The 27,788-nt window shown below is 43.9% G+C and overlaps 1 protein-coding gene and 1 pseudogene across 5 annotated transcripts in view, besides 1 other annotated feature; one reads left to right on the top strand and one right to left on the bottom strand.

Moving 5' to 3' along the window:
- SV2C (synaptic vesicle glycoprotein 2C) overlaps positions 1–27,788 on the bottom strand; it is a 506,476-nt gene that overhangs the window by 155,795 nt on the left and 322,893 nt on the right. For all 5 annotated transcript variants that reach the window (XM_011543282.4, NM_001297716.2, NM_014979.4 and 2 more), the window contains exon 3: positions 3,046–3,226. In XM_011543282.4, coding sequence (XP_011541584.2) covers positions 3,046–3,226 — 181 coding nt within the window. The remainder of the gene's footprint in view (positions 1–3,045; positions 3,227–27,788) is intronic.
- Positions 21,955–22,034: an enhancer, noted in NCBI's record as "active region_22688". NCBI's record gives its function as "activates an Ori minimal core promoter by ATAC-STARR-seq in GM12878 lymphoblastoid cells {active_cell/tissue: GM12878}" and the evidence as "EXISTENCE:reporter gene assay evidence [ECO:0000049][PMID:35858748]".
- On the top strand, positions 23,791–25,054 carry RAP1BL (RAP1B like (pseudogene); annotated as a pseudogene).

The raw sequence follows: 27,788 nt of genomic DNA, 5'->3' as shown, positions 1-27,788 counted from the left end.
GGAGGAGATGGGCATGCAAATTGGTAAACTGAGTGGAGAAGTTCTGCCCTCAGGGGTGGGTGGGCACCATCCAATCGGTTGTGAACCTGGAGAGAACAAAAAGGCAGAGGAAATTCTAATTTGCAGTCTCTCGGAGCTGGGACATCCTTCCTCTCCTGTCCTTGGACAACAGATCCCCAGGTTCTCTGGCCTTTGGACTTTGGGACTTGCACTAGCAGCACCCTGAGTTATTAGGCCTTTAGCCTTGGAATGAGAGTTATATTATCAGCTTCCCTGGTTCTGAGGCCTTCAAACTTATACTGAGCCATGCTACTGGCATCCCAGCATTTCCAGCTTGCAGAAGGCCTGCCATGGGACTCCTCAGCCTCCATAATTGTGTGAGCCGTTGCCTTAATTAGTCCTGTCTCATATCTATCTATCTATCTATCTATCTATCTGCCTGTCTATCTATTCTATCCATTCTTTCCTATTGGTTCTCTCTCTCTGGAGAATGCTGACCAATATAGATTTCTTCCCTCATTTTCCTTAATAACTTCATTTCTCAGGTCCTGTCAGCCGCTGGATCCCACAAAACTCTGCAGAGATTTTGCCACCTGGACTAAGGTAACTAAGCTCACATGACTCCCCCCTCAGCCCTGTCCCCAGCCTAGGTACTCACCATTTATTATAGAGATTAACTTGATTTATGCTTGATTTTACTTGCCATGTTTTCTCCCAAATATTTTGTCCCTGATTAGGCCTTTCTGTTTCTTGCATGGGCCAGACTTGAAATTTAAAAAGCCAGAAAGGAGTCTCTTTCTGCCTCCTCCCCTGCTGTCACTCCAAGGCAATCAACATAGAACAGCTTAGCAAAATGTATGTGAGGAGGAACAAAGGAGATAAGAAATGCCAAACTATGAGTGAGTGTTTCTAAACATTATCCTACATTATCTTCTCTACCTTGTACTTTCAATACATCATCTCATTTGATCTTCACACTCCAAGGTAACAATGCAAAGTCCTAATGTCTTCTTTTACAAAAGAAAAAGCAGGCAGGAGAGCCTGCATGACTTTCCTAAGACTCCATGATAATGGGCAGGAGTAGGGCACACCTGGATTTCTTGATTCCCAGCCCCCGGGAGTCCTGACCTGTTGGCTGAAGAATGATTTGTCTGCAGTAGGAATGAGGATAATATCAAGAATACATCTAAGTTGTCTCTGCTTTTATGTTGCCCTTGAATTCGCTTCTGGACAGGCCATTGGTTTGGAATATTTTGCAGCCACCACAGTGGACCTTTTTCTCTACAGTCTGTTGGGACGACCATGTCTCAATCCAGATTGGCAATTAAAATTGCCACAATAATTTGACCACAGTCATGTACTTTTGGGTCTTTGGATATTGCTTCAATTTCCCAAAAAAGATTGCAAACTGAAAGGACTGGAAAATTCAGCGCTTATGCTGTTAGCCTTCTGTTGACAGGCTAGTGGTTTTATTATAGATAATAAAAGGGAGAAGGAAGCTTGGCCTTTCCTGGTGGCAAGAATATCTTATCCTATGGACCTACTCACTGAGAAGGTCCTTTAACTAATAGCCCCAAGTAACATCTGTTCTTCATTCATTCATTCAATCATTCAACATTTAGGTCTGCTGAAACCCTTTGAGTCCATAATCCAAAATCCATCTTCAAGTCAGCAGCGTATGTAGCCAGTCTCACAGAAACTGAGCACCAAGGGGCTCCCCTGTGGAGAAAAAGCCTCCTCTCCCCTTTCTCCGTTGCTACAAAGCAAATGATTGATTCTGAACATTTTTTTTTCCCCAAGAACAAAATATTTTACACTTTCCCAAACTCTCCAGCCATCTTGGTTTACTGAAATGCACTGTCTTCACTCTAAGGAAAGCTCCTAAAATTTGTGCAACTTAGTCAAGTATTTGCTAAGTGCTCATTGTGTGCAGAATGTAGCATAGGAGCTGTGGGAAATGCTACTATACATAATTAAGAAAGACATGCTATAGTCCTCTGACCTCTTTTCACAAAACTGTGTTCTGCTTTGTAGGTTGTGGTGATGTATCACTAACAACCACAACTGATAGCTTTTAAAGTTTATAACCCAGCCCCGTTTCCCTCATTTTCTTCATTTATGTTTAAAAATTGTATATTATTCCTACAGATTCATTTTGTGTTAGACATCTTGAAAAAAAAGTCTCTAAGTTCTTAATCATGAATCAAAAATTTTATATATAGATATATTTAACTTTTAAGTTCAGGGGAACATGTGCAGATTTGTTATAGAGGTAAACTTGTGTCGTGGGGGTTTGTTGTACAGATTATTTTGTCACCCAGGCATTAAGCCTAGTACCCATTCGTTATAAAAATTTTATATTTTTACTATGTTTTTTTCTTATTGAAGCAAAGTTTCTCATATATTCCTTATTCAGCTATTAGGTTTTTCTATGCTTATGGATTCATTTAGTATAGTTATAAGTGCTTTAAGCTCTTTAAAGAAAATGAACATCGGCTACACTCTACCACTGCATTTGGGTAATAGCACAACTTCTGTTAATTCAACAGAAGTCAGGAACTTACTAAAAATTACGTCTCAAGGAGGCTTTCTACCAAGTTAAATATGCCAAGTTAACATAGACCAATAAAAGTGCATTTATTTGAGACACTCTAATCCTGAATTTAAGAGCATGCTTGAATGGCTCAAACCTTTAATTAGTTCATAACAGGTAGGACGAGAGCTATTTCCTACTTATGTTAAATTTTCAGAAGCAGCATATATGTGTGAATGTGTTCTACCATAGAAACAGCATTCCATTTAAAACAATACTCTTCTTCTAGAAGTAATAATCAGCTATGAAAACATAGGTGTGTGTTCCCTTCTGTCCTGTATTTAAAGGTTGATAATTATATTTCTAAGAACCAGCATTGTGGTTTCCAGGGCTGACATGAGGATATGGAAGGAGATGTGTGAAGGGATAATTTCCTCCCAATAAGGTTCTCTAGAGTGGAGAATTATGAAGAATAAACACATTACTATAAAATATGAAGGAGAAAACCTTACCCGAATCCAGAAAGTAAGCGACAGAAGAGAAAGAAGCCATAACCTTGGACAAATGAAGAAAGGAAGGCAAAGAATCCGTTGACAGACATGCAAATCAGAAGAGACTGTTTCCTTCCCACTTTGTCTGCCAGTCCTCCCCAGAAGAACGCCCCCACCATCATCCCGAGGTACACTATGCTGCCTGCAACACACAGAAAACAAAGAAACACATCAGAGGTTGGGAGTCAATGACACATGTAACAGCAAGTGAACAAGGAACAAAATACATTCCAGCATTTTGCATGAGGAAAATTTCCTTTAAAAATATAACCTTCAGGACACAGTAATCAGTTTTCAAGTTGAAGAGTAAGCAATATGGAAAAAACACTTGGCAAGGTCTCACGACCCTCACATCAATAATGCAGGGATGCTGTTTTGCAGATAGCTGAGTACACTCAGCTACAGTGAATGGTGAATGTTGTGAGCAATTGTAAAATAAAAGCTGTCTTTATTTAGGCTGGGTTACTACAGAGAATAGGGTGGTCAACCTTTGCCTGGGTGTGGAGGGTATATTTTTCTCTGTACTATGGTGCTGACTATGGACAGATCATCCTTCTCAATGGAGATTCCTCCTGTCATGAGACCCAGTGTGTGTCCTGGAGACAATTTAGAGAATGTATAAGTGCAGCACGAGGGATTCCAAAAGCAGAAGGATTGACCCAGGGAAATGCCTATGTAGCAGATCTCTTATTTACAGCATAAGAGGCTCAAGTTTGCCGCTCATGCCTCTCAGAAGATAATCACTAGCTAAGCATCTTTATAAGAATATCTGTGTCTTTTAAAATGCCTACAAATCAGAAAGTGAGCTTTTATAGATCAGGAGCGGCCTGTGGATGCTGTGATCTAAAGACTTGGGAGTCTTTCATATAGCTCCAGCCCAGGGAACAAAGCCTCGCCTATCCCCTTCTCCTTATGTCTTTCAGAACTGCCCCCACCCAGCCCCTGAGCCCTGGGGTAAGCCACCTTGATGGCAACAGTAAACCAAGATCTCTTGTGGTCCACCTGAATTATCTGACTACAGAAAGCATGAGTAACACAAAGACAAGCTGTCTGCATTCAATCAATAACCACTTATTATCTTTTAAAGATAATAGTAAACAACAGCCCCTGGTACTACTTTCACTGAGTGAGCATCTGTTTGTGCCAGGCACTCTTTGAGGAACATTCCATATGTTGGTTCACTTAATCCTCACCACAGTCCTGCAAAGTGAGTATTATTAACCCATTTTACAGATGAGAAAACTGAGGCTCAGACAGATTATTCAACTTGATCTAACAGACAGTAAGTGGCTAGCCAGGGTTGTGAAATGATGTTTCTCTGACTAAAGCCTGGGGGTCTTTCTCAGGGCTGATATTCCATTTCACCAGGCTCAACTGCCCTGGCCTCTCCACTGGGAAGTCCTGGACTTTCCCTTGATCCAGTAACTAAAGGGTTAAAACCTGATGCTATAGGGTAAACCTTAGAGCTATAAACATGCTATTTTGATTCCCTGGCTATCCTTGTTATTAATTATTTTGAATATTTCCACTGTTCTTTCTGCTAAGCTCAACTTGGGAGCCCCTGTTATGTGCAAACCAGAAACCAGGTGATGTGAAGCAAAGTCTTTAGCTGGGTGTTAATTTCTGCTTGAGCTCAACCCTGTTGTGTTTAAAGAAAATGCATCTGAGATCTTGGGGCAAGGCAGGTTAACCAAGATTCCTACTGCCCCCTAGACTATCACCATCCACTGCTTTCTGCATTCCTCCTACCACCTTTCCCTGAAGGCATTTGGACTTTCAGACCCCTGAGAATATGGGATTTACAGTCTGGGGAAAGTGGCTTATCAAAAACGAAGGCAGAATGGCCTCCTGGGATCATAGGATCAGAACAGAACAAAGTGTAAACTCATGTACCTGTGCTCCAAGTCATCCAAATTTTTTTCCTACTCTGTCAGGATGGCTTAAGGAGCTCGTAATTCAGAGAAGGACAAAAACAGATACAAAACTAAATGAGCTCAAGCCCAACCATGTGGTGTGCACCCGAACAGCAGTGTAAATAGGAGCAGAGGGGCAGAAGGTGGCTACTAATTCTCACGTGGCCTCTGGGAAGATTTTACTAACAAGAGAACATCAGAGGGGAATCCGAAGGATAAGAAAGATTTCAAAATGGTATTAAATTCCTCCATGACTGACACAGTTAGTATAAAAAATGTCATATCAAACTGTATCTTTACTTGCACTCTGTTTAAAAATATTTTTAAGATCTAAAGGTAGTAATCTTTTGTGACTACACTTAGTTTGTATTGAAAACTAAACTGTTCCATTGGGCATTCTGTGGAAAGAATTAATCCTACCCAACAGCTTATTGGAGACAAACACAGCACAATTAGAAGGTTCATTTGTGGATTGTGTGATCTAATTAAAGCCAAACCTTTAAATGTTGGCAAAGGCATCAGGTGAATAATTGTAACCACTCTGGGATTGTCAGACACAAACTGTATTTCCTTCCCTGTTTGCATTCACTTTTCCTTTCTATATTCACAGTGTTATAACGGGGAGTCCTTGAAAACTCAGAGCAGACATCAAGCTCTAGACAATCTCCAGCCTTCTCTCTCTCTGTGCCTTGAGATGCTGCAGACGGGCAGACTTAAAAGGTATCTTCATCCAAAGCCTCTCATTTTACAAGTAAGAAAACAGTTGTCAGAAGTCAGAACTTGAAATCAGGTCTTTTAGATCCTCACTTCTCAAAGTATGACCCATGAACCAGTGAAACCAGTCCCTCCCTCCCTTGCCCTGGGGAGCTTACTGGAAATGTAGACTCTTAGACGCCACTCCAAACCCACTGACTCAAAGTCTGCATTTGAATAAGACCCCCAAGTAATCTGTGTATACCTTAGAATCTGAGGGTGCTTTCCAATAACACAGACAACATTTCTAATACATTTTTAACTTAAAGTTTGTATTTTTTTAAATACATGTTTGAGGGGAGGAGATGAAGGCTACAGAGTATTTTAACTCCAAAGATGTGAAACAGGCAAGACCTGCTAGATGAGCTGGAGCTCTCAAAAGGGCAAGCAGGAGCTGTGGAATTAGAAGCTGCTCACCTCCCCTGGGACCTGCCTTCCACAGAACTAGAAGCTGACTTTCCATTCAATTCCAGGAAAGCGATGTTAAAAGAGGCCAGGCTGTGACTCTTGTGTCCTTTCATGAATTTAATGAAGACTTTAATTCAGCTGGGATTTCAGGAGGTTGAACCTGACCTGAGAAATAAACTCAACTTACTCTTCCTACCATAGTTCTGGTGAAGGCCATTCCTGGCCAGTCCAGGCTCTTAGTCTTTCAGAAGATGACACAAAGGCCTCAAGTATGACTTCCTCATTAAGGTATTTTCTGACATGGAGGCTGGTTCCATTTTATTTAATCATACCCTCATTTCCCCTGATAAATATCACATTTACATTTCTGTCTCTTTGCTAAGCTGCTTTAGATTCTTTCTGACAATCCCTAAGGGGACATGTCTTTTCCCCCAACACCATTTTAAACCATATTTAAACAAAACAGAACAACTTTAGGAAATGATATATAGTGTTTTTCTCATACCAACTTTTAGTCCATCAGTTTTTAAAAATTATCTTAAGCACTTCAGTAATGCATGGCTAATGCATTACTCTAGAATTCCTTGCACCATTTATTTATAAACTGATTTTCAATGAAAAACATTCTGTATTAGTATTCCGAATTCACTGATGATAAGGTTTGGGTCTGTGTCCCTGCCCAAATCTCATGTCAAATTGTAATTCCCAATGTTGGAGGTGGGACCTGGGAGGTGATTAGACCATGGGGGTAGATTTCCCTTTTGCTTTTCAAGATCTGGTTGTTTAAAAGTGTGTAGCACCTCCCTCTTCTCTCTCTTCCTTCTGTTCCAGACATGTAAGACATGCCTGCTTCCCCTTTGCCTTCCACCATGATTGTAAGTTTCCTGAGGCCTCCCCAGCCACGCTTCCTGTACAGCCTGCAGAACTGTGAGCTAATTAAACCTCTCTTCTTTATAAATTAGTCCGTCTCACGTATTTCTTTACAGCAGTGTGAGAATTGACTTACACAATTGATAATGTCCATGAGGTGACAATCACAATCACTTTTTATATGCAGATCTTCTTAGGTTAAAACAAAATTTTTGAGTCAAAGAAAAATAAAAGTAGATTTTTGTTGAATGATAAGGACATTTCTGGAAATGGTTGAAAAGAATAATATGGACTGACATTAAATAAAGCTTTGTTACTCAAATAATGCTTCATTTTTTTAGATGTTATTACTTCTTTCATAAGAAGTAGGTGCATTTGTTTTCCCAAAGGTAGAGTTTCTTCCACAAATCTGAGGTGTGTCTACAATAGAGGCCCAGTGACACACAATCTCTCCTTGACCAAACCCTAGTCTTTGGACCACTCTTCTCAACTAGACTATGAAGTATGGACTTCTGTGTTCATTTCTGCATTGCCCAATTTTAGCAAGAATCCTGCCAAGTCAGCGAATCCCCGACTCTAGATGGCTGGTTGTCTTCAATATCTGATCAGATCCCCTGGGCAATATCTGATCACCCTGCTCTGTCTTCAGCAAGAATCCAGTTAGGTCAACTTACCCAAAGTCTTCTTTACCCCTAATGTTTCCTCTTGGTAATTTTCTGATGAGACTGGGTGCATTCAGGGTGATATGGCGGTAGATCCCTCTTGGTAATTTTCTATCCACTAACTCTCCCACCCTGGACCTTGGCTCTAAATTCACACTTTTCCTTTTTGTACTAGGAGTTGAGCCTGATCTCTCTTTTATACTGCAAAACCCATTGCAGTGGTCCCTAGACCTGTTATGATGGTCCTGACTATGCTTTAACAAGCATTACAAATAATTTTCCCTTTAACATCAGTTGGCCAGTTTTCATTTCACCAACCCAATAAAGTAACCACCCCTCCCACAAACACACCAAAAACCATCACTGCAAGTGTTTTCCTTTCACTCACCCATCTTCCTTCTGCTTCCACCAGCAGCACTTTATGTTTCTGAAGAGTTACCTATGTTTGTACCCAACTTTTTTATGCCAGTTCTGTTTGTTATTAATTATGCATTTAATTTAACACCAATCACATAAATAATGAAATCTGAGTGTGAAAGGAAAGGGAGCTATTTCTATGAAAGTGAATGTAAGAAAGACTTGGGGAAGATGACTTGCAAAAGAAAATCATTGCAATGTGAGCAATACAAAAAAAAAGACTGAGAAAAATCATTAAGATGAAGGATCCTGTGCTCAGATTGAGGCACATGTGTTTTTACGGTCTCACTCCACTTTAAAGAAACTTAAGACTAAAAATCAAAGCTGCAGAATGACTGTAGTGATGCAAAGAAAACAATGGGGAACTCCAGTTTGAAGAGCCCAACTCAAAGGAAAAATCTCTCACTCTGCATCCAAAGATGATCAAACGAATGTATGCTTATAGGTTAAAACACCATATTTACATACATATTTATATTTTTGCATGTTTTCCTGCATTTACCAACTTTTCTACTAACCAACTAATTACCAGACCTGATTTAGTCAGGTAAGGGGGTTTCTACCATGCCTCTGAAGACCCCTAAAAGTATGCTTTGTGCTTAAAGAAATCAGCTACTGGAATAGTCACTGCAAATTGGTTTGTTTTATTACCAAAGGCAACACTGAAAATGATATCCTCTTAAGGTCAATTCTAGGAAGCCAAGGGAAGACCACACTCAGCCAACAATTTTGGGGTTCCAGGAGCAGGGACAACAGGGCAGCAGCTGTGAAAGCTTACACATCAGTGTAAGCTCCGTCTCTCCTATTTCCTCAAAGAGTCATTTTTTTTTTCATTTTATGCTAGAAAAATCCTTGGACAAAGGTGCCAAGGTACCCTGGACTAGCTCTAGTCTCCCTCTAACTATACTTAAGATCTCAGGCCAGTCTTCTAGCTTCCGCCTGTGTCAAATGCTTGGTTTGGGCTAGATGTTGGGTCAGTCAGTCCTGCAAAGTTGGCCCAGCCTTTCCTTTCTGTGTGCATGGGGGTGGGAGTGGGGTGCCTCTCTCCCTTTTTGGCCTCTTATGGACCCTCCCCACCTAATCACTGAGGTGTAAGCTTTCACAGCTGCTGCCCTGTTGTCCCTGCTCCTGGAACCCCAAAATGGTTGGCTGAGTGTGGTCTTCCCTTGGCCAGACTCCATCAGAGTCCATAGAAGGCTGACTCCAGGGACCACTGTCCCTCTCCAGCTGTCCCTGCCCCCCACCCAAGATGCTAAGTAGGCTGTAACATCTCCTTGTTATCCACAATTTGCTATTTTTTGTCATTACTGGTTACAAATTCTGTGTCTGATTAGAAATGATAGCATGAAATCTCAAGCTCAGTACTTGTTCTATTAAATTCTTTCATTAATAGTGCTGAGAAGTGAATCCATTATTAAAGTAATGGGGGTTAAGATGGGGGAAAAATAACTTTATTATTTTTTAAATCAAATGCAGTATGCTTAGTCTTCATTCTACTACCATTTACCACTCTGAACTTTGGGTCAGGTAGCAAATAGTTAAGAGCCTGGGCTCTTAAAACAGATGGCTTAGATCTGAACCCTTCCCCAACCAGTTCCTAGCTGTGTGACCTAGAGTTACTTAAGTTCCTTGTGCTGCCTCAGTTTTCTCCTCTGTATAGTGGGGCTAATAACAGTACCTACTTCACAGGGTTTTGAGAGATTAAATGAGATAAAGTGCTTAGTACTGTGTAAAACACACAGTTGTCCAATAAGCAACAATTATTATTATTATTTTTGAGAGGGGGTCTCACTCTGTCACCCAGGTTAGAGTGCAGGGGCATGATCTCAGCTCACTGCAACCTCTGTCTCCCAGGTTCAAGTGATCCTTCTACCTCAGCCTCCCAAATAGTTGGGACTACAGGTGCGTGCCACCATGTCCAGCTAATTTTTTGTATTTTTCGTAGAGATGGGGTTTCACCATATTGCCCAGGCCTGGTCTCTAACTCCTGAGCTCAAGCAATCCACCTGCCCTTAGCTCCCAAAGTGCTGGGATTACAGGCATGAGTCACTGCACCCGACCAACAATTATTAATATTACTATTGGCATCACGTAAAGAGAAAAGCGGAGAAATAAAATAGTGATGGAAAAGAAAAAGCAGGAATTAAAGAAGATGGATCTGGAATGGTAGAAAAAGTGGAATGACAACTTTTCACCTTCCTTAACTCAAGTTCTGAAAAGAAGATACCTGAAACAGCACTGAAAGAGTAATTTTCTAAATCCCTAAGACATATTTTTTTTTTTTTTTGCAATTTGAAACTATTTAAATACATAATTAATAGGCTTCTAAAACTGATCCCTCACTTTTTCAATTACTATTTTTAGTAGCCACAAGTAGGGGCCATTATGTGTTCAAAAGCATCTGTGGACTTTCACAAAATCAAATAAAAGCAAAGAAAGTAATAACATCAAAGGCATATGTACAAAGGGGGGAAAACCTTTCTAATTTGCATGAGAGAATATTTACCACAAAAGCCAGCTCTTCTTAGCTAGAAAGAACTGTAAATATCAGATGCAGTCTATAGCATATCTTTGACTTTTACCTTAGGGAAGTCTGACATTTAAGTTTGCTGGTCCAAGCAGAGACCAAACATGGGCAGATAATGCCATGTCAAGCAATAGTGCTACTTGTTACCTAAGTTCACCTGGGCACTAAAAAGCACATGCGGGCCTAAGACAGTTTTCCTGAATCCAATGAGCAAACTGTAGAAGAAGAGGCCTAATAATGAAGCCCAATCTATTCTCTAATGTCGTTCCTCAAATGGCTGTTGTACAGCATGCCCATCAGACAGGGGAGGAGACATTACAGTGTTTTGTGCATGTATGGCTCTGCAGGCCCCCTTGTTATTTGAAGCAATTTTTTAAAAGTCTTAGGAATCAAGAACATTAAAGCGAATCACCTTGTGGTGTACCATGGACATCGCATATCAGTTTAACACCAATGGGATCCCCATCCCTTGCGAGGTTCTCCTACTCCAAGTTCTGTGCTGAGGGAGAAAAGTGGTGATATGCTCTGGCTCTGTGTCCCCACCCAAATCTTACCTCGAATTGTAATAATCCCCATGTGTCAAGGGCAGTACCAGGTGGAAATAATTGAATCATAGGGGTGGTTCCCTCATTCTGTTCTCATGATAGTGAGTGAGTTCTCATGAGATCTGATGATTTTATAAGGGGCTTCCCGCTTTGGTCAGTGCTCATTCTCCTGCTGTCCTGTGAAGAGGTGCCTTCCACCATGATTGTAAGTTTCCTGAGGCCTCCCCATCCCTGTGGAACTGCGAGTCAATTAAATGTCTTTGTTTGTTTGTTTGAGATAAGGTCTCACTTTGTTGCCCAGCCTGGAGTGCAGTGGTGTAACCTTGGCTCACTGCAACCACCGCCTCCTGGATTCAAGCAATTCTCTTGCCTCAGCCTCCTGCATAGCTGGGATCACAGGTGTGTGCCACCATGCCCAGCTACTTTTTGTATTTTTAGTAGAGATGGGGTTTCACCATGTTGGCCAGGCTGGGATCGAACTCCTGATCTCAGGTGATCTGCCTGCCTTGGCCTCCTCAAGTACTGTGATTACAGGCATGAGCCACCATGCCTGGCCAACCTCTTTTCCTTATAAATTACTCAGTCTTGGGTATTTTTTCATAGCAGTGTGAGAATGGACTAATACACTAAATTGGTACTGGGTAGTGAAGCACTGCTCTAAAGATACCCGAAAATGTGGAAACGACTTTGGAACTGGGTACCAGCCAGTTGCTGGAACAGTTTGGAGGGCTCAGAAGAAGACAGGAAGATGTGGGAAGGTTTGGGACTTCTTAGAGACTTGTTGAATGGCTTTGACCAAAATGCTGGTAGTGATATGGACAACGAAGTCCAGGCTGAGGTGGTCTCAAATGAAAATGAAGAACTTCTTGGGAACTAGGGTAAAGGTCACTCTTGCTATGCAAAGAGAATGGTGGCATTTTGCCCCTTCCCTAGAGATATGTGGAATTTTGAACTTGAGAAAGATGATTTAGGGTATCTGGTGGAAGAAGTTTCTAAGCCACAAAGTGTTCAAGAGGAAGCAGAGCATAAAAGTTTGAAAAACTTGCAGCCTGATGATGTGATAGAAAAGAAAAACCCATTTTCTGGGGAGAAATTCAAGCCTGGTGCAGAAATTTGCATAAGTAACAGGAGCTGAATTCAATGGAGATTTCTCCATTGAATCACCAGGACAATGGGGAAAATGTCTCCAGGACATGTGAGAGACCTTCATGGCAGCCTCTCCCATCACAGGCCTGGAGGCCTAGGAGGGAAAAATTGTTTCACCGGCTGCTATGCAGCCTTGGAACATGGTGCCCTGAATCCCAGCTGCTTCAGCTCCAGCTATGGCTAAAAGAGTCCAGATTATAGCTCAGGCTATTGCTTCAGAGAGTGCAAGCCCCAAGCCTTGGTGGCTTACACATGGTGTTGGGCCTGGGGATGCACAGAAGTCAAGAATTAAGGTTGGGGAATCTCTGCCTAGATTTCCAAGGATGTATGGAAACTCCTGGATGTCCAGGCAGATGTTTGCTGCAAGGGCAGAGCCCTCATGGAGAATCTCTGCTAAGGTAGTAAGGAAGGAAAATGTGGGATACAAGCCCCCACACAGAGTCCCCACTGTGGCACTGCCTAACGGAGCTGTGAGAAGAGGGCCACCATCCTCCAGAACCCAGAATGGTAGATCTGCCAACAGCTTGCACCATGTGCCTGGAAAAGCTGCAGACACTCAATGCCAGCCCATGAAAGCAGCAACTGTACCCTGCAAAGCCACAGGGGCAGAGCTGCCCAAGGCTGTGGGAGCCCACCTCTTGTATCAGTGTGACCTGGATGTGAGATATGGAGTCAAAGAAAATCATTTTGGAATGTTAAGGTTTAACTACTGACCTACTGGATTTTGGACTCACATGGGGCCTGTAGCCCCTTCATTTTGGCCAATTTCTCCCATTGGGAATCTGTGTATTTACCCAATTCCTGTAACCCCATTGTATCTAGGAAGTAACTAACTTGCTTTTGATTTTACAGGCTCATAGGAAGAAGGGATTTGCCTTGTCTCAGATGAGACTTTGGACTTGGACCTTTGGGTTAATGCTGAAATGAATTAAGACTTTGGGGGACTGTTGGAAGGGCATGATTGTGTTTTGAAATGTGAGGACATGAGATCTGGGAGGGGCTTGGGGTAGAATGATATGCTTTGGCTCTGTGTCCCCACAGATCTCACCTTGAATTGAAATAATCCCCACGTGTCAAGGGTGGGACCAGGCAGAGATAATTGAATCATGGGAGTGGCTTCCTTCATGCTGTTCTCATGATACTCAGTGAGTTCTCATGAGATCTGAGAGTTTTACAAGGGGCTTCCCCCCTTCGCTCAGCACTCATTCTCTCTCCTGCCGCCCTATGAAGAGGTGCCTTTTGCCATGATTGTAAGTTTCTTGAGACCTCCCCAGCCATGCAGAACTGTGAGTCAATTAAACCTCTTTTCTTTATAAATTATTCAGTCTCAGTTATTTCTTTATAGCAGTATGAGAACGGACTAATACAAGTGGTAATAGACTGAACCTAATCTTCAATAATCCCAATCACTGACTGAACAAATGAAGCAGGTGATCATTAATTCCACAGCTCTTGCTTGAGCTCCTGCTATAAACCAGGCATCTTGCAAAGTATGAGGGTAGGGAGGGAGGAGAGGTCCACAAACTTGAATAGGACACAGTTTTCACTCTCCAGGAGATCACAGCCTAGTGCAGCAAGGTTTCAGACTCTGGCTGCTCACTGGAATCATCTGAAGAGCTTTAAGAAAAACAAAACACTGATGCCAGGCCACACCCAGAGGTTCTTTATCTATAATTTGCTATTTCTTCTCTATCCAAGAGGCAATGTGAAGCTTAACACCAAGGTTTTGGCATAGGGTTCAGATGACAGTATTTCTTAAAAGCTTTCCAAGAAATTCTAATATGAAGCCGGGGCTTTGAACCTTTGGTTTCCTGGGAGATTAAAAACATGCAAAAAGTAATTACCACAGAATGAAACACGTGCTATAATTAAGGTGAGTACATTATGCTTAAGGGGAAAAAAGGAAAGACTACTTAATTAGTTCTAGGGAATTCTGAAAAGCTTCACATACAGGGTGATGGTTGTACTGGGTTTTGAATAATGAATGAGAAGCCTCCAAGTAAAAGGCACTCTCGGAGGAAAGTTCCAAGGGAGGGAAGAATATCATCTTCAAAGGTTTGGAAGTGTGTCAGAGCATAGCACACCAAGAGGACTCTAGGTAGTTCAGGGTAGACGGAATGTGGAATTCATGGGTTGGGGGAGAGTGGCAAGAGAGAAGGCTGGAGGAAAAGTTGGAGTCAACACAAGGAGTTGAGCTTTATCCTTGGGGCAGCTGAAAAACAGACTAGATATTATCTGTTCCTTCAAATATCATTTTAGCAACTGCAAGGATAAACTGCAAGGAGGAAAGATGGAGAGAAGGGGAGGGTAGAGGTGGTGATATACTTTGGATATTTGTCATGCCCAAATCTCATGTTAATTCCAATTTAACATGAGATTTGGATGGGTTTGAGAGCACAAACCCCAGTGCTGGAGGTGGGGCCTGGTGGGAGGTGTTTGGATCATAGGGGTGGATCCTTTATGTCTTGGTGCTGTCTTCAAGATGGTAGGTTCTCAGCTGGGCATGGTGGCTTACACCTGTAATCTCAGCACTTTGGGAGACCAAGGCGGGCAGACCACCTGAGGTCAGGAGTTTGAGACCAGCCTGGCCAACATGGTGAAACCCTGTCTCTACGAAAAATACAAAAAATTAGCCAGGTGTGGTGGCAGGCACCCGTAATCCCAGCTACTCAGGAGGCTTGCTTGAACCTGGGAGGTGGAGGGTGCAGTGAGCCAAGATCATGCCACTGCACTCCAGCCTGGGCAACAAGAGTGAGACTCTGTCTCAAAAAAAAAAAAAAAAAAAAAAATGGTAGGTTCTCATGAGATGTGGTCATTTAAAAGTATGTGGCACCTCCCCCTACTCTCTCTCTCTCTCTCTGTCTCTCTCTCTCTCTCTCACATACACACACACACACACACTCTCTCTCTCAATCCTAGTTTCACCATGTGGCGTGCCTGCTCCCACTTCACCTTCTACCATGATTGGAAGCTTCCTGAGGCCTCCCCAGAAACAGATGCCGCTCTGCTTCCTCTATAGCCTGCAGCATCACGACCCTTTCTTTATAAATTACCCAGTCTCAGGTATTTCTTTATAGCAATGCAGGAATAGCCAAACACAGGGAGGGAGAAAGGCCACCAGGACTAGGGCAGGTCACTGAATCTCCTGAAGTGCCTGGAGCACAAAATTTAAGGAGCCTCACTCTCACGTGCTGGCTCTGAATGTGCACAACTCTGAGAGTGTGTGCTTCCTTTCATCTTACGCCCGAGGCACCTCGCTTTCCTCATTCTAGTACTGACCCTGGAAAAAAGACCAGCTGAAGGACTATCCCTGAGCAAATAACTGTAGTAGGCCAAGGAAGAAATGATGGCCACCTGGTCTAAGGCAAGAAAAAGAGAGCAGGCTTGGAGAAGAGAGAAAAGGCTGTAAGTATTTTCAGTTATCAGAGACCATAGTTGTTGTAAACTGACAGGTGAGGCAAAGAAGAGTTGAAGTTCACATTAAGGATTCCAGCTTGGGATAGGTCATAACAAAATTGATAAAAGAAATACAAGAGGCGGGTAGGTCTGGGGGGTCATGTCTTAAACAAGCGAGGAAGATGTTCACAACAGAAACCCTCATTCTACTCTATGTGAACAGGGCAGGATAGGGCAGAGCAGGCAACACATGCAAATCAATAAAGCAGTGGTCAATACAGCTGACCATCAGGAAATGATTCAGGAGCTTCAAAAAATAAAAATAAAAACCAAGGAGAATATGAACAATGAGAGGATAGGTGGAATGGCATTTTTGCTTTCTTTCAGGACTACACAACAGTCCTGGAGAAGGTCTAACGTAGGAGGCATGAGAAGGTTGGAAAGGTCAGGAGGATAGGTGTCTGGTGGGAATGACTGGGTTTAGTGTGTGGAGAAATATAATTGGGCTGGATGAGTATGAGAAGACTCCTAAATATCAAAGCAAAAGCATTTAAATTACTTATACAGACAATGAGGAGTCACTTATGGGTTCCTGCGTGGGGAAGGAAAGCAATCAAAGCCTGATATTGTTTGGCTGTTTGTCCCCACCCAAATCTCAAGTTGAATTGTAATCCCCACATGTTGAAGGTGGGGCCTGGTGGGAAGTGGTTGATCATGGGGGTGGTTTCTAATGGTTTAGCCCTATCCCCCTAGTGCTGTCTCCTCACAGAGTTCTCACGAGATCTGATGGTTTAAAAGTGCAGCACATCCCCCCTTCCCTCTCTCTCCTGCTCCACCATGGTAAGACATGCTTGCTTGCCCTTCACCTTCTGCCAAGATTGTAAATTTCCCAAGGCCTCCTAGCCATGCTTCCTGTTAAGCTTGTGAAACTATGAGTCAGTTAAAACTCTTTTCTTCATAAATTACCCAGTCTCGGGTAGGTCTTTATAGCAGTGTGAAAACAGACTAATAGAAAGCCCTAGTGTGAAAAGGCAAAGGCACTGTAGAACAGGACTGGCAGACTTTCTGTAAAAGGCCAGATAGTAAATACCTCAGACTCTGTGGGCCATACGGACTCTACTGCAATGACTCAGCTCTGCTGCTGCGGCATGGAACCAGCCATAGACAACATGTAAACAGATGGGTGTGGTTGTGTTCCTACCAACCTTTATCTACAGAATCAGGCAGAGGGTTGGATCGGAGCTGTTGGTTGTCATTTATGGACTCCTGCTTTAGAGGAAGCGTTTGCCTGAGGGTAGGTGTGTATTAATTGAACAGGTAGGGGGATGGCTGAGAGGCAATGGAAAGTGTAACACCAAGGCTGGGGTAAGGAAATGAAGAAACATACTTGGGAGGTGGCAGCATAGCAGGGCAGTTGAGAGCCTTGCGAAATGTGATTTCCCTGCAAGAGTAAGTGAAAGGATATGACCCAGGCTCAAAGGATATGGCCAAGAAGAAGTGAAAGAGTCAACCCTTGAGGATGGTGACATTTAGACGGCAAGAAGGAAAAGAAGTCAGAGGTAAGAAAGTGTGGACAAGGAAATAAGAAGAAGGGTCTGGATAGAGCAGAGAAGACCTCAGAAGAAAAACTGAAGAGGAAAGGCTGCTCAACAGTGTCCACAGCATGAGAGCTCAGAAAAGACCTTTGGGCCCGTCCTGGAAGAGGTCACTGGCAAGGTTGAAGGGGCAGTCTCGGGCCAGGAGGAATGACGAAGGCAGAGAACAGGAGATGAAAGCAGAGGGGGCAGTGAGAGGAGGAGGCCAGGGATGTAGCTAAGTACAACTGCAATTCAGAGGAGCAAGAGGGTACCATGTCACTGGACTGAAAAGAACTGGAACAAATGCGTCAGCACAGGGCATCAGTGAAGACAGAAGAAAAGCATCAAGTATATTAATATGGACATGATTGCCTTGAAACCACAGCCGCAGATGTAATAGACTATAGCAAAGGGCTTATGCTATTGGAAGAGTGGGCTATTTTGGAAGAAAAGTGCTACTATGTGTCTTGTCAGAAAATGCGTGAAAAACAGACTTATGAGAAATATATTAATCTTCTTAAGTTTAAGCATAACTACCTTAAAAAATATTTTTCCAGAAAAGTCTCCTTTATATTAATATCAGCACAGTGAATAAACAAAGCATAAAAATCTAAAAGGAACTGGTATTTTAGAGGAACAGAACAAGAAAACAATTTTTGATCTATGTTCATATTAAATCTTTTGATATTGTACAGCAACAGAAAGGCCTGGAGGGGCAGGGACTCTCACTGCTTAAGTCCGTGCATTTCTAGATGATGGGAACATGATTGTGTATGGCAGGAAAACAGGACTGAAAATGAACTCAAAGATCACACAGTGCTTGATCAACATTCATAGGAAAATAATTGCACAAAGCCTCCAAGATCCCTCTCTTAAAAAATTATCTGTAAGTTTTTTTTCTGTTGTTGTTTTTAAAGTTCAGATGGCAGATATCAAAACAACCAGACTAGATCATAATAGATTCCAGTAAATGTCTAAAGAGAAAATCCAGCAGGCCATTACTGATACTCCTATGTGACCTTTTGTTTCCTGAAACAGGCAGACACCTAAGTTGTCAGCCCAGAGCAGTGAGTGAATAAATAGCGGGATCTACCTTGCACTAATGGATGTTGCCCCTAATCCATTGCTGATGGCAAAGTCGAGGTGAATTCAGGGCAGCACTTCTTGACACTTGAGATTTATTTTGTCATTAGTGATGAAGCATCACACGAGGGCTCCTCGATCCCAAACTGTCAGAAGCACTCTTCGGCATTTTAGGAAAGGTCACCCAGATATTCAGGTGCTGACCTACAGTACTGAAGCTGTTACTTAGTAGCTGATTCTTTTTATTATGACTATTAATGATTTATGTCTAGAATGAGCAGTCAGCCATCCGCTTCTCAGAGAAAAACATGGTCACTTTGAGAGTAAGAAAAAAGTAGGAATTTTAATCAATTATTATATTGTGACTCAAAAACAAGCAAAAAACAATGCTGAATCCATTTTGTTTTCTGCTCTGAAACCTAAGATAAGGCACGTTAAAAACCATTGTATCCTAGAATCCCTAAATGGCCCCTAAGCACACTGCATTCGTTCATTCATTCTTATCCACGAATCCTCATTCAATTAATCATATATGCAACATGCTCCTTTTGCCTTTCATCCAAATCATGTACCTTGAACTTCAACTGCACATTCATAGTGAAGACACCCAGACTACTATAGTTTGCGTGGGTAACTCCTATACATTCTCACCCACATTCTAACTTGCGTTATTTATCAGCATTTCATAAGCATCAGTCCTATCTCTATAATTAATTTTCAATTTGACTCCTGGCAGGAACTATGTATTATGTCATCCTTTTCTGAAACTCCATGAGGCTACACTATTGTAGGCACATTTTGAAAATCAGTAAAACCTCGTTGATTTAATTTAGAAGGTTGAACTCAAACTGCAGTCCTCCTCACATAAAGCTATGCAATTGACAGAACTAACTCAAAAATGAAATTATGACCATAAAATCTTGAGTGTCCCAAGAAAGTATAAGTGGCATACTTGAGACCTTTTGTCTAGAAGAATAATTCCCAAATCCAATCTGCCAAAAAGGCAGGCTCCATGAGACAGTTTCCACCAGCCTGCAGTTAAACAAGAAAAACAAGGAAAATGATATGTCTTTTTCATAAAGATAAATTTATTCAATTTAAAAAAGGTCCTTTAAGAACATGCCCTTCCTATTATTTTAATGTGAACATGCCTTTTGTTTTATAAAATGATAGTGAGTATAAAGAGTAGTGTGCATGTTATTGCAATCATTATTTTTAAATGTTCTTCCTTAGTAAAATAAAGGTGGGCTTCCCTCTGTCAATCTTGCTCATTCTTTTTTTTCAAAATTGGAATTAAAAATCCAAAAGACTGGGAGCCACTGCTATAAAACTCAATGGTGGGAACAATATTTTGGAAATACTACACCTGAAAAAGAAAAGAAATTTACTCTAACATGTAATAGAATGGAGATGTCTCCTGTGTGCATGTTTGGTGACTGTACAACACAGCTGCAAATTCTGCAATGCTCTTCCCATGAAAAGGTGAAGTCTATGTTGCCTCTCCTTGATTCTGGGTAACTGCTTGAATGAATAGTGTATGACAGAAGTGATGCTATGTGACTTTCAAGATTAGGTAATAAAAGGCCATGCAGTTTCCACCTTGTCTACCATAGCACTTGCTTTTGGAGCCCTGAGGCCCCATCTGTACATCTGACTACCCTGAGACTGATATGCTGAAGAGGTCACAGATAGGTGCTCTCACCTACTGTCCCCACTGGGCCCAAAATGCATGAGAAACAGACTTATGAAAAATGTATTTATCTTCTTAAGTTTAAGCATAATTATAAACAATGAAAGTATGGTTTTCTTTTCAGAGAAATCTCCTCTATATCAGCACAGTGAACAAACAAAGCATAAATATCTAAGAGGAACTGGTATTTTAGAGGAACAGAACAAGAAAACAATCTTTCAGCCATTCCTGCCCAGATGTCAGTCATCTTAGACCCTCCAGCAAAATACCACTGAGTGACCTCTGTTTAAACCACCAAGAACAGAAGAATCACCTAGCCAAGCCTTGTCCAAGTTCCAAAGTCACACAGGAGTGTGAGATACAATAAAATGGCTATTGTTTAAAGCCACTAAGATTTTGGATAGTTTGGGACATAATAACACATATCTGGAATAGCATACAGTAGTTCCCCCTTATCTGCGGTTTTGCCTTCAGTGGTTTCAGTTATTCGCAGCCAACCATGGTCTGAAAATATTAAGTTATTTTGAGAGACAGAAATACCATATTTAGGTAACTTTTATTATAGTATATTGTTATAATTATTCTAGTTTATTATTTTATTATCAGTTATTGTTATTAATATCCTACTATGCTGAATTTGTAAGTTGAACTTTACCATGGGTATGTATATATTGAAAAAACAGTATATATAGGGGACGGTACTATCTGCGATTCTAGGTATCACTAGCGGGTCCTGGAACATATAAGGGAAGATCTCTGTACTTCCCAAAACACTGCTGAAAATATTTCATTCACTGGGATACCCAGACTATAAGAAATACAGCATTAAGAATCATATATACAGATTAATATATTTGTATATATTATTTGTATATATTAATATATAATATATTGATTAATATAATTGATTATTAAATATATACACTTCTGTACTTTCTGTTTTTTGTTGTTTTTTTTTTGAGACAGAGTCTCGCTCTGTCGCCCAGGCTGGAGTGCAGTGGCGTGATCTCGGCTCACTGCAAGCTCTGCCTCCCGGGTTCACGCCATTCTCCTGCCTCAGCCTCCCGAGTAGCTGGGACTACAGACGCCCGCCACCGTGCTCGGCTAATTTTTTGTATTTTTAGTAGAGACGGGGTTTCATCATGTTAGCCAGGATGGTCTCGATCTCCTGACCTTGTGATCCATCCACCTCGTTCTCCCAAAGTGCTGGGATTACAGGCGTGAGCCACCTTGCCGGCCTCTACTTTCAGTTTTAAAGAAAATCAAAATGGCTTAATTGCTAATATTTCTTTCAATGCTGCAAATCATTTCAAAAGAACATCAAAAGCAACCTCATTCTACTTTTCCCCCATAATTCCAGCCATAAACTAAACAGTGATTGGGGGTTAGAAAGTTTTCCCTCTTGGTCCTGTCAAGTCTTCTCCAGGCAATCCCAGGAAAGATGTTTTTGGCTTTTGTTTTGTTTTAATGAATAGATTTTAAAAGTAGGGGAAAGATAGGAATTAAGTAAATGGGGACCAGGATTGAAGCAGAGGGTGTTTATGGGTGGTGGTGGTGGGTGATTTGGTTTTAAGATTGGAGAATTGATCATGATGCAAGGAGAAGAAATATGTGGAGTGAACTTTCTCACCAATAAAAATACATTAATTAGCTCTTAGAGGAAAGAGCACAAGGACATAAATTCTGTGTGTCCTGGAGCATGTCACCTACAATATGGCTGATTAATAAAGCTCTGAGACAGGATGAAACAAAACCGCAGCTCTTCTTAGAAAACTGGGTAGCAGATTCACTACCATGGTTTTCTATTTGCACAACCATTCTCCCCCGAACTGAGAACCTCCAGGCCACTTCCTATTTTCCCCATCGGTAATCACTTAAGTCTTGAACATTTAAATCTCAAAACCCAACTTAGACTAAACGTAGTAAACTTTGGCTCCCTGTGTGTGTGTTGGGGTGGGGGGTGAGGGAGAACACCATGCACACAAGGTTGTCACAAATAACAAATTGCTCCTGGGGGCCTGGCTGGAGCCTCACAGCTGTGTGTGCAGATAAGCAGAGCAGTGTGGAAGGTAGGGATCCCAGGGCTTTGTGTTACCTTCACTTTCTCATAGACTTTCGGATGATGCTGTCACCATCTGCAACCTGACCCATCCCCATGCGGAGATTCTGACAGAGTGCAGTGGGGGCTGTCAGACAGATCTGACAGGGCTGGACTCATGCCTTTATTACTGATTGCAATCCACCTCTCGGGGACACACACGCTGGCTTTCCCAAACAGACTCTGACTTGTTAAACCCTTGGGTTGTATGGTTAGCTTTTATTTAGAAAGTTCTAATTTCAGCTGTTGGAAATAAATTGTATGTGATTTTCTAGATCTTACATCTTAATTACTTAGCAATTTAACATACAATTGTAGATGATAATTTTTCTAAGGTCCACTGCCCTCAGGATTCGTGTTAAAAGTATCTCATCAGCACATCGAGCTGCAAACAGGAAGTTGTCTGGGATATGGGGGAAATTTTAGCACCATGTTACTCTTCTGTGTTAGATCTAATTTTCTCTCTGCACTTTAACAATGATGACTGTCACTAATACCTAAACATTCACTGTTAGATTCTGTGTCCATTTTTCTTTTTAGTTAAAGCCATATATATATATCCCCCTACTTTAAAGGACAAATTCCCTTTTTAATTGAATTATACCTAACCCCTGGGCCATTTGAGTAAAATCTCGTCATGGTCAGCTTTCCTTTTGTTTTACAGTAAAGAGCAATTCATATTGTGTTTCAGGTCCTACCTGTCGTTGGCAAACTCTAGCCTCCAGGGGGAGCCAAAGACTCCCCCACACTTTATCTAGCAAAGAAGAGCTCTGATTCTGTGAAGGCCAACATGGAAACTGGACTTAAACACCAGGCCAGCGTAGGGGTTGGGGAACTGACCTCTTCATTTGGGTCATCTCTTTTCCGTGTAGTGTTTTTTCTGGTATCTCTCACCATGCCCCCTCTCCTTCCCTTCCCCTTCTGCCTCTCTCAAGAACTGTGAGGGGTCTGAGATTTCACCTTACCTGAAATTTAGTCAGTTAGACCGCCAGGCTCACGGGTGCCAGCAGAACACATGAGATTCTTGGCTCTGAGACTTTAACATTCACAGCAACAGCAGTAAACAGGGTATCAGCACTTGTGCTGGCCAAGAGGGCATGAAGCAGGAGCCAAAGCCTGCCTCCAGCATCAGCGTTGGGCTAGATGAACAGGAGGACCCTTGCTTATCAGGATAGGAGACCATGTCCACATTTGGAGACATATTCTTAGCTAGTAACAAAGAATGTGCAGGTTTGTAGCAGGGGTCCACGAACTATGCTTTCGTGCAGCGTACAAGCTAAGCATTCTTTTTTACATTTTTTAAAATGGCTACAGTAAAGAAGAAAATGTGATAGAGACCACAGGTGGCCTAAAAAATTTGACGTATTCACTATCTGGGCCTTCACAGACAAGCTTGGTGATTCCTGGTCTATAGCATCGTCTGTGCTTAGGGCCCGAGGTGGGAGTGGCAGTGCCATGGCAAAGAAGATTCAGGATCTCTCTCTTTCTTGTTCCATCAGAGACACACATTGCAGGCCTGATGGGAACAAGTACATTATGAGATTATTTTGCTCTTTCATTATTAACTCCCACCCCAACATAAACACCAGAGGCAGATGGATTTCATAAAATAGGATTGAGAAAACCTCGCCCAGATTCAGGCGTGTAAACCAGCCGGAGCGGCGCGGCAGCGGCAGGACCGCCGTGGCGCCTAGAGTAGCGACCCGCGGGGAGCACGGGGCGACGCTGGCTGCAGAGACCCGGTGACAGCGTGAGAGGTTCGCAGAGTACTAGGTTTTGACAAGCTTGCATCATGCGTGAGTATAAGCTAGTCGTTCTTGGCTCACGAGGCGTTGGAAAGTCTGCTTTGACTGTACAATTTGTTCAAGGAATTTTTGTAGAAAAATACGATCCTACGATAGAAGATTCTTATAGAGAGCAAGTTGAAGTAGATGCACAACAGTGTATGCTTGAAATCTTGGATACTGCAGGAACGGAGCAATTTACAGCAATGAGGGATTTATACATGAAAAATGGACAAGGGTTTGCATTAGTTTATTCCATCACAGCACAGTCCACATTTAACGATTTACAAGACCTGAGAGAACAGATTCTTCGAGTTAAAGACACTGATGATGTTCCAATGATTCTTGTTGGTAATAAGTGTGACTTGGAAGATGAAAGAGTTGTAGGGAAGGAACAAGGTCAAAATCTAGCAAGACAATGGAACAACTGTGCATTCTTAGAATCTTCTGCAAAATCAAAAATAAATGTTAATGAGATCTTTTATGACCTAGTGCGGCAAATTAACAGAAAAACTCCAGTGCCTGGGAAGGCTCGCAAAAAGTCATCATGTCAGCTGCTTTAATATACTAAATGCATTGTAGCTCTGAGCCAGGTCTGAAGAACTGTTGCCCAATTCAACAGTGCCAGCATTCCAACTTTGTTAAACCTACCAACATCTTAAATGGACTTTCCTGTGGTGGTACCCTTTAAGAGGCGGATGAAAGCTACTATATCAGTTTGCACATTCTAATCACTTTCCAGTATCACAAGAGAGATTTTTACTTATATAATAGTCCTAGAGTATGCAGCTGGTAAAACCAGAGGCTACATCCAGTATTACTGCTAAGAGACATTCTTCATCCACCAATGTTGTACATGTATGAAAATGGTGTACTGTATACTTTAACATGCCCCATACTTTGTATTGGAGAGTACAATAATGTAAATCCTAAAAGCACCACTATTTTAGCATAATAAAAGAAAGTCCAAAGAGCTCCTATATAGACTACTCCAGATAACTTCGCTTCTTTGATACTTGTAGCTTATTGTAATTTTTTTTAAGAAATTCAAGGTCATTATTATTGTACAAAATAAGCGCTTTGATTAACACAGCTATATAGTTTTTTTAATTTTTTTTTTTTTGTATTTTTTTTTAATTTATTTTTTTATTGATAATTCTTGGGTGTTTCTCACAGAGGGGGATTTGGCAGGGTCATGGGACAATAGTGGAGGGAAGGTCAGCAGATAAACAAGTGAACAAAGGTCTCTGGTTTTCCTAGGCAGAGGACCCTGAGGCCTTCCGCAGTGTTTGTGTCCCTGGGTACTTGAGATTAGGGATTGGTGATGACTCTTAACGAGCATGCTGCCTTCAAGCATCTGTTTAACAAAGCACATCTTGCACCGCCCTTAATCCATTTAACCCTGAGTGGACACAGCACATGTTTCAGAGAGCACAGGGTTGGGGGTAAGGTCACAGATCAACAGGATCCCAAGGCAGAGGAATTTTTCTTAGTGCAGAACAAAATGAAAAGTCTCCCATGTCTACTTCTTTCTACACAGACACGGCAACCATCCGATTTCTCAATCTTTTCCCCACCTTTCCCGCCTTTCTATTCCACAAAGCCGCCATTGTCATCCTGGCCCGTTCTCAATGAGCTGTTGGGCACACCTCCCAGACGGGGTGGTGGCCGGGCAGAGGGGCTCCTCACTTCCCAGTAGGGGCGGCCGGGCAGAGGCGCCCCTCACCTCCCGGACAGGGCGGCTGGCTGGGCGGGGGGGCTGACCCCCCCCACCTCCCTCCCGGACGGGGCGGCTGGCCGGGCAGAGGGGCTCCTCACTTCCCAGTAGGGGCGGCCGGGCAGAGGCGCCCCTCACCTCCCGGACAGGGCGGCTGGCTGGGCGGGGGGGCTGACCCCCCCCCCCACCTCCCTCCCGGACGGGGCGGCTGGCCGGGCGGGGGGCCGACCCCCCCACCTCCCTCCCGGACGGGGCGGCTGGCCGGGCAGAGGGGCTCCTCACTTCCCAGTAGGGGCGGCCGGGCAGAGGCGCCCCTCACCTCTCAGACGGGGCGGCTGGCCGGGCGGAGGGCTGACCCCCCCACCTCCCTCCCGGACAGGGCGGCTGGCCGGGCAGAGGGGCTCCTCACTTCCCAGTAGGGGCGGCTGGGCAGAGGCGCCCCTCACCTCCCAGACGGGGCGGCTGGCCGGGCGGAGGGCTGACCCCCCCCACCTCCCTCCCGGACGGGGCGGCTGGCCAGGCGGGGGGCTGACCCCCCTACCTCCCTCCCGGACGGGGCGGCTGGCCGGGTGGGGGGGCTGACCCCCCCATCTCCCTCCCGGACGGGGTGGCTGGCCGGGCTGAGGGGCTCCTCACTTCCCAGTAGGGGCGGCCGGGCAGAGGCGCCCCTCACCTCCCGGACGGGGCGGCTGGCCGGGCGGGGGGCTGACCCCCCCACCTCCCTCCCGGACGGCACGGCTGGCCAGGCGGGGGGCTGACCCCCCCACCTCCCTCCCGGACGGCACGGCTGGCCGGGCGGGGGGGCTGACCCCCCACCTCCCTCCCGGATGGGGCGGCTGGCCGGGCGGGGGGCTGACCCCCCCCCCACCTCTCTCCTGGACGGGGTGGCTGCCCGGCGGAGACGCTCCTCACTTCCCAGATGGGGTGGCTGCCGGGCGGAGAGGCTCCTCACTTCTCAGACGGGGTGGTTGCCAGGCAGAGGGTCTCCTCACTTCTCAGACGGGGCAGCCGGGCAGAGACGCTCCTCACCTCCCAGACGGGGTCTCGGCCGGGCAGAGGCGCTCCTCACATCCCAGATGGGGCGGCGGGGCAGAGGCGCTCCCCACATCTCAGACGATGGGCGGCCGGGCAGAGACGCTCCTCACTTCCTAGATGTGATGGCGGCTGGGAAGAGGCGCTCCTCACTTCCTAGATGGGATGGCGGCCGGGCGGAGACGCTCCTCACTTTCCAGACTGGGCAGCCAGGCAGAGGGGCTCCTCACATCCCAGACGATGGGCGGCCAGGCAGAGACACTCCTCACTTCCCAGACGGGGTGGCAGCCGGGCAGAGGCTGCAATCTCGGCACTTTGGGAGGCCAAGGCAGGCGGCTGCTCCTTGCCCTCGGGCCCCGCGGGGCCCGTCCGCTCCTCCAGCCGCTGCCTCCCGGGCGGCGCTCGCCGGCGCGGCGGCAAAGACTGAGACAGCTCCGCTGCCCGCTGAACTCCATCCTCCCGGCGGTCGGGCGGCGGCGGCTGCGGTCGGTCGCGGCAGCGGCTCCGCTTCATAGCTGCAGCTGGGGCCCGCGGGCGTCAGCGCCGCGACTGTCCCGGCTCCGCACTGCCCCGGGCCGCAGCGCAGCCGCGCCAACCACCACCCGCGGCCACCATGGCCGGACGGGCTCCCTAAGCCACCGACCCCAGCCCGCGGCGCCTTCGAGCCTTCTCAGTTTTTTTAATTTTTAAAAAACCTGTGGAGACAGTGATCTTGTCTTTAAAATATGATAGTCCTTTCAGTATAATGTCTTAGATTAAAGACGTTGCCTTTAATATCTGTTGGGAAGGAAATGTCCAGACTTTTCAAATCTCTTATTATATGTTTCCTTTTTTTGTTTACATAGGGAACAATGTTTATAGTCGTGTGTACAGTGGGGGTCTACAACAAGAAGTGTATATTTTCAAACAATTTTTTAATGATTTAACAATTTTTGTAAATCATTTTCAGGCTTCTGCAGCTGTAGATTCTCACTGTGAATCCCTTGCTTGCTCATGCATAAGTGTATTTGCAATACCAAATATACAGGTTTAGTATTTTTGCCTGTTAGTGATTGTTTCACATGTGTAACGTTTTGGTTGAGATGT

This window comes from Homo sapiens, chromosome 5 (genome assembly GCF_000001405.40).
Source record: "Homo sapiens chromosome 5, GRCh38.p14 Primary Assembly".
NCBI classification, from domain to species: domain Eukaryota; kingdom Metazoa; phylum Chordata; class Mammalia; order Primates; family Hominidae; genus Homo; species Homo sapiens.
Note: the sequence above shows the minus strand (reverse complement) of the source record. Positions and strands in the feature narration are given on the sequence as shown.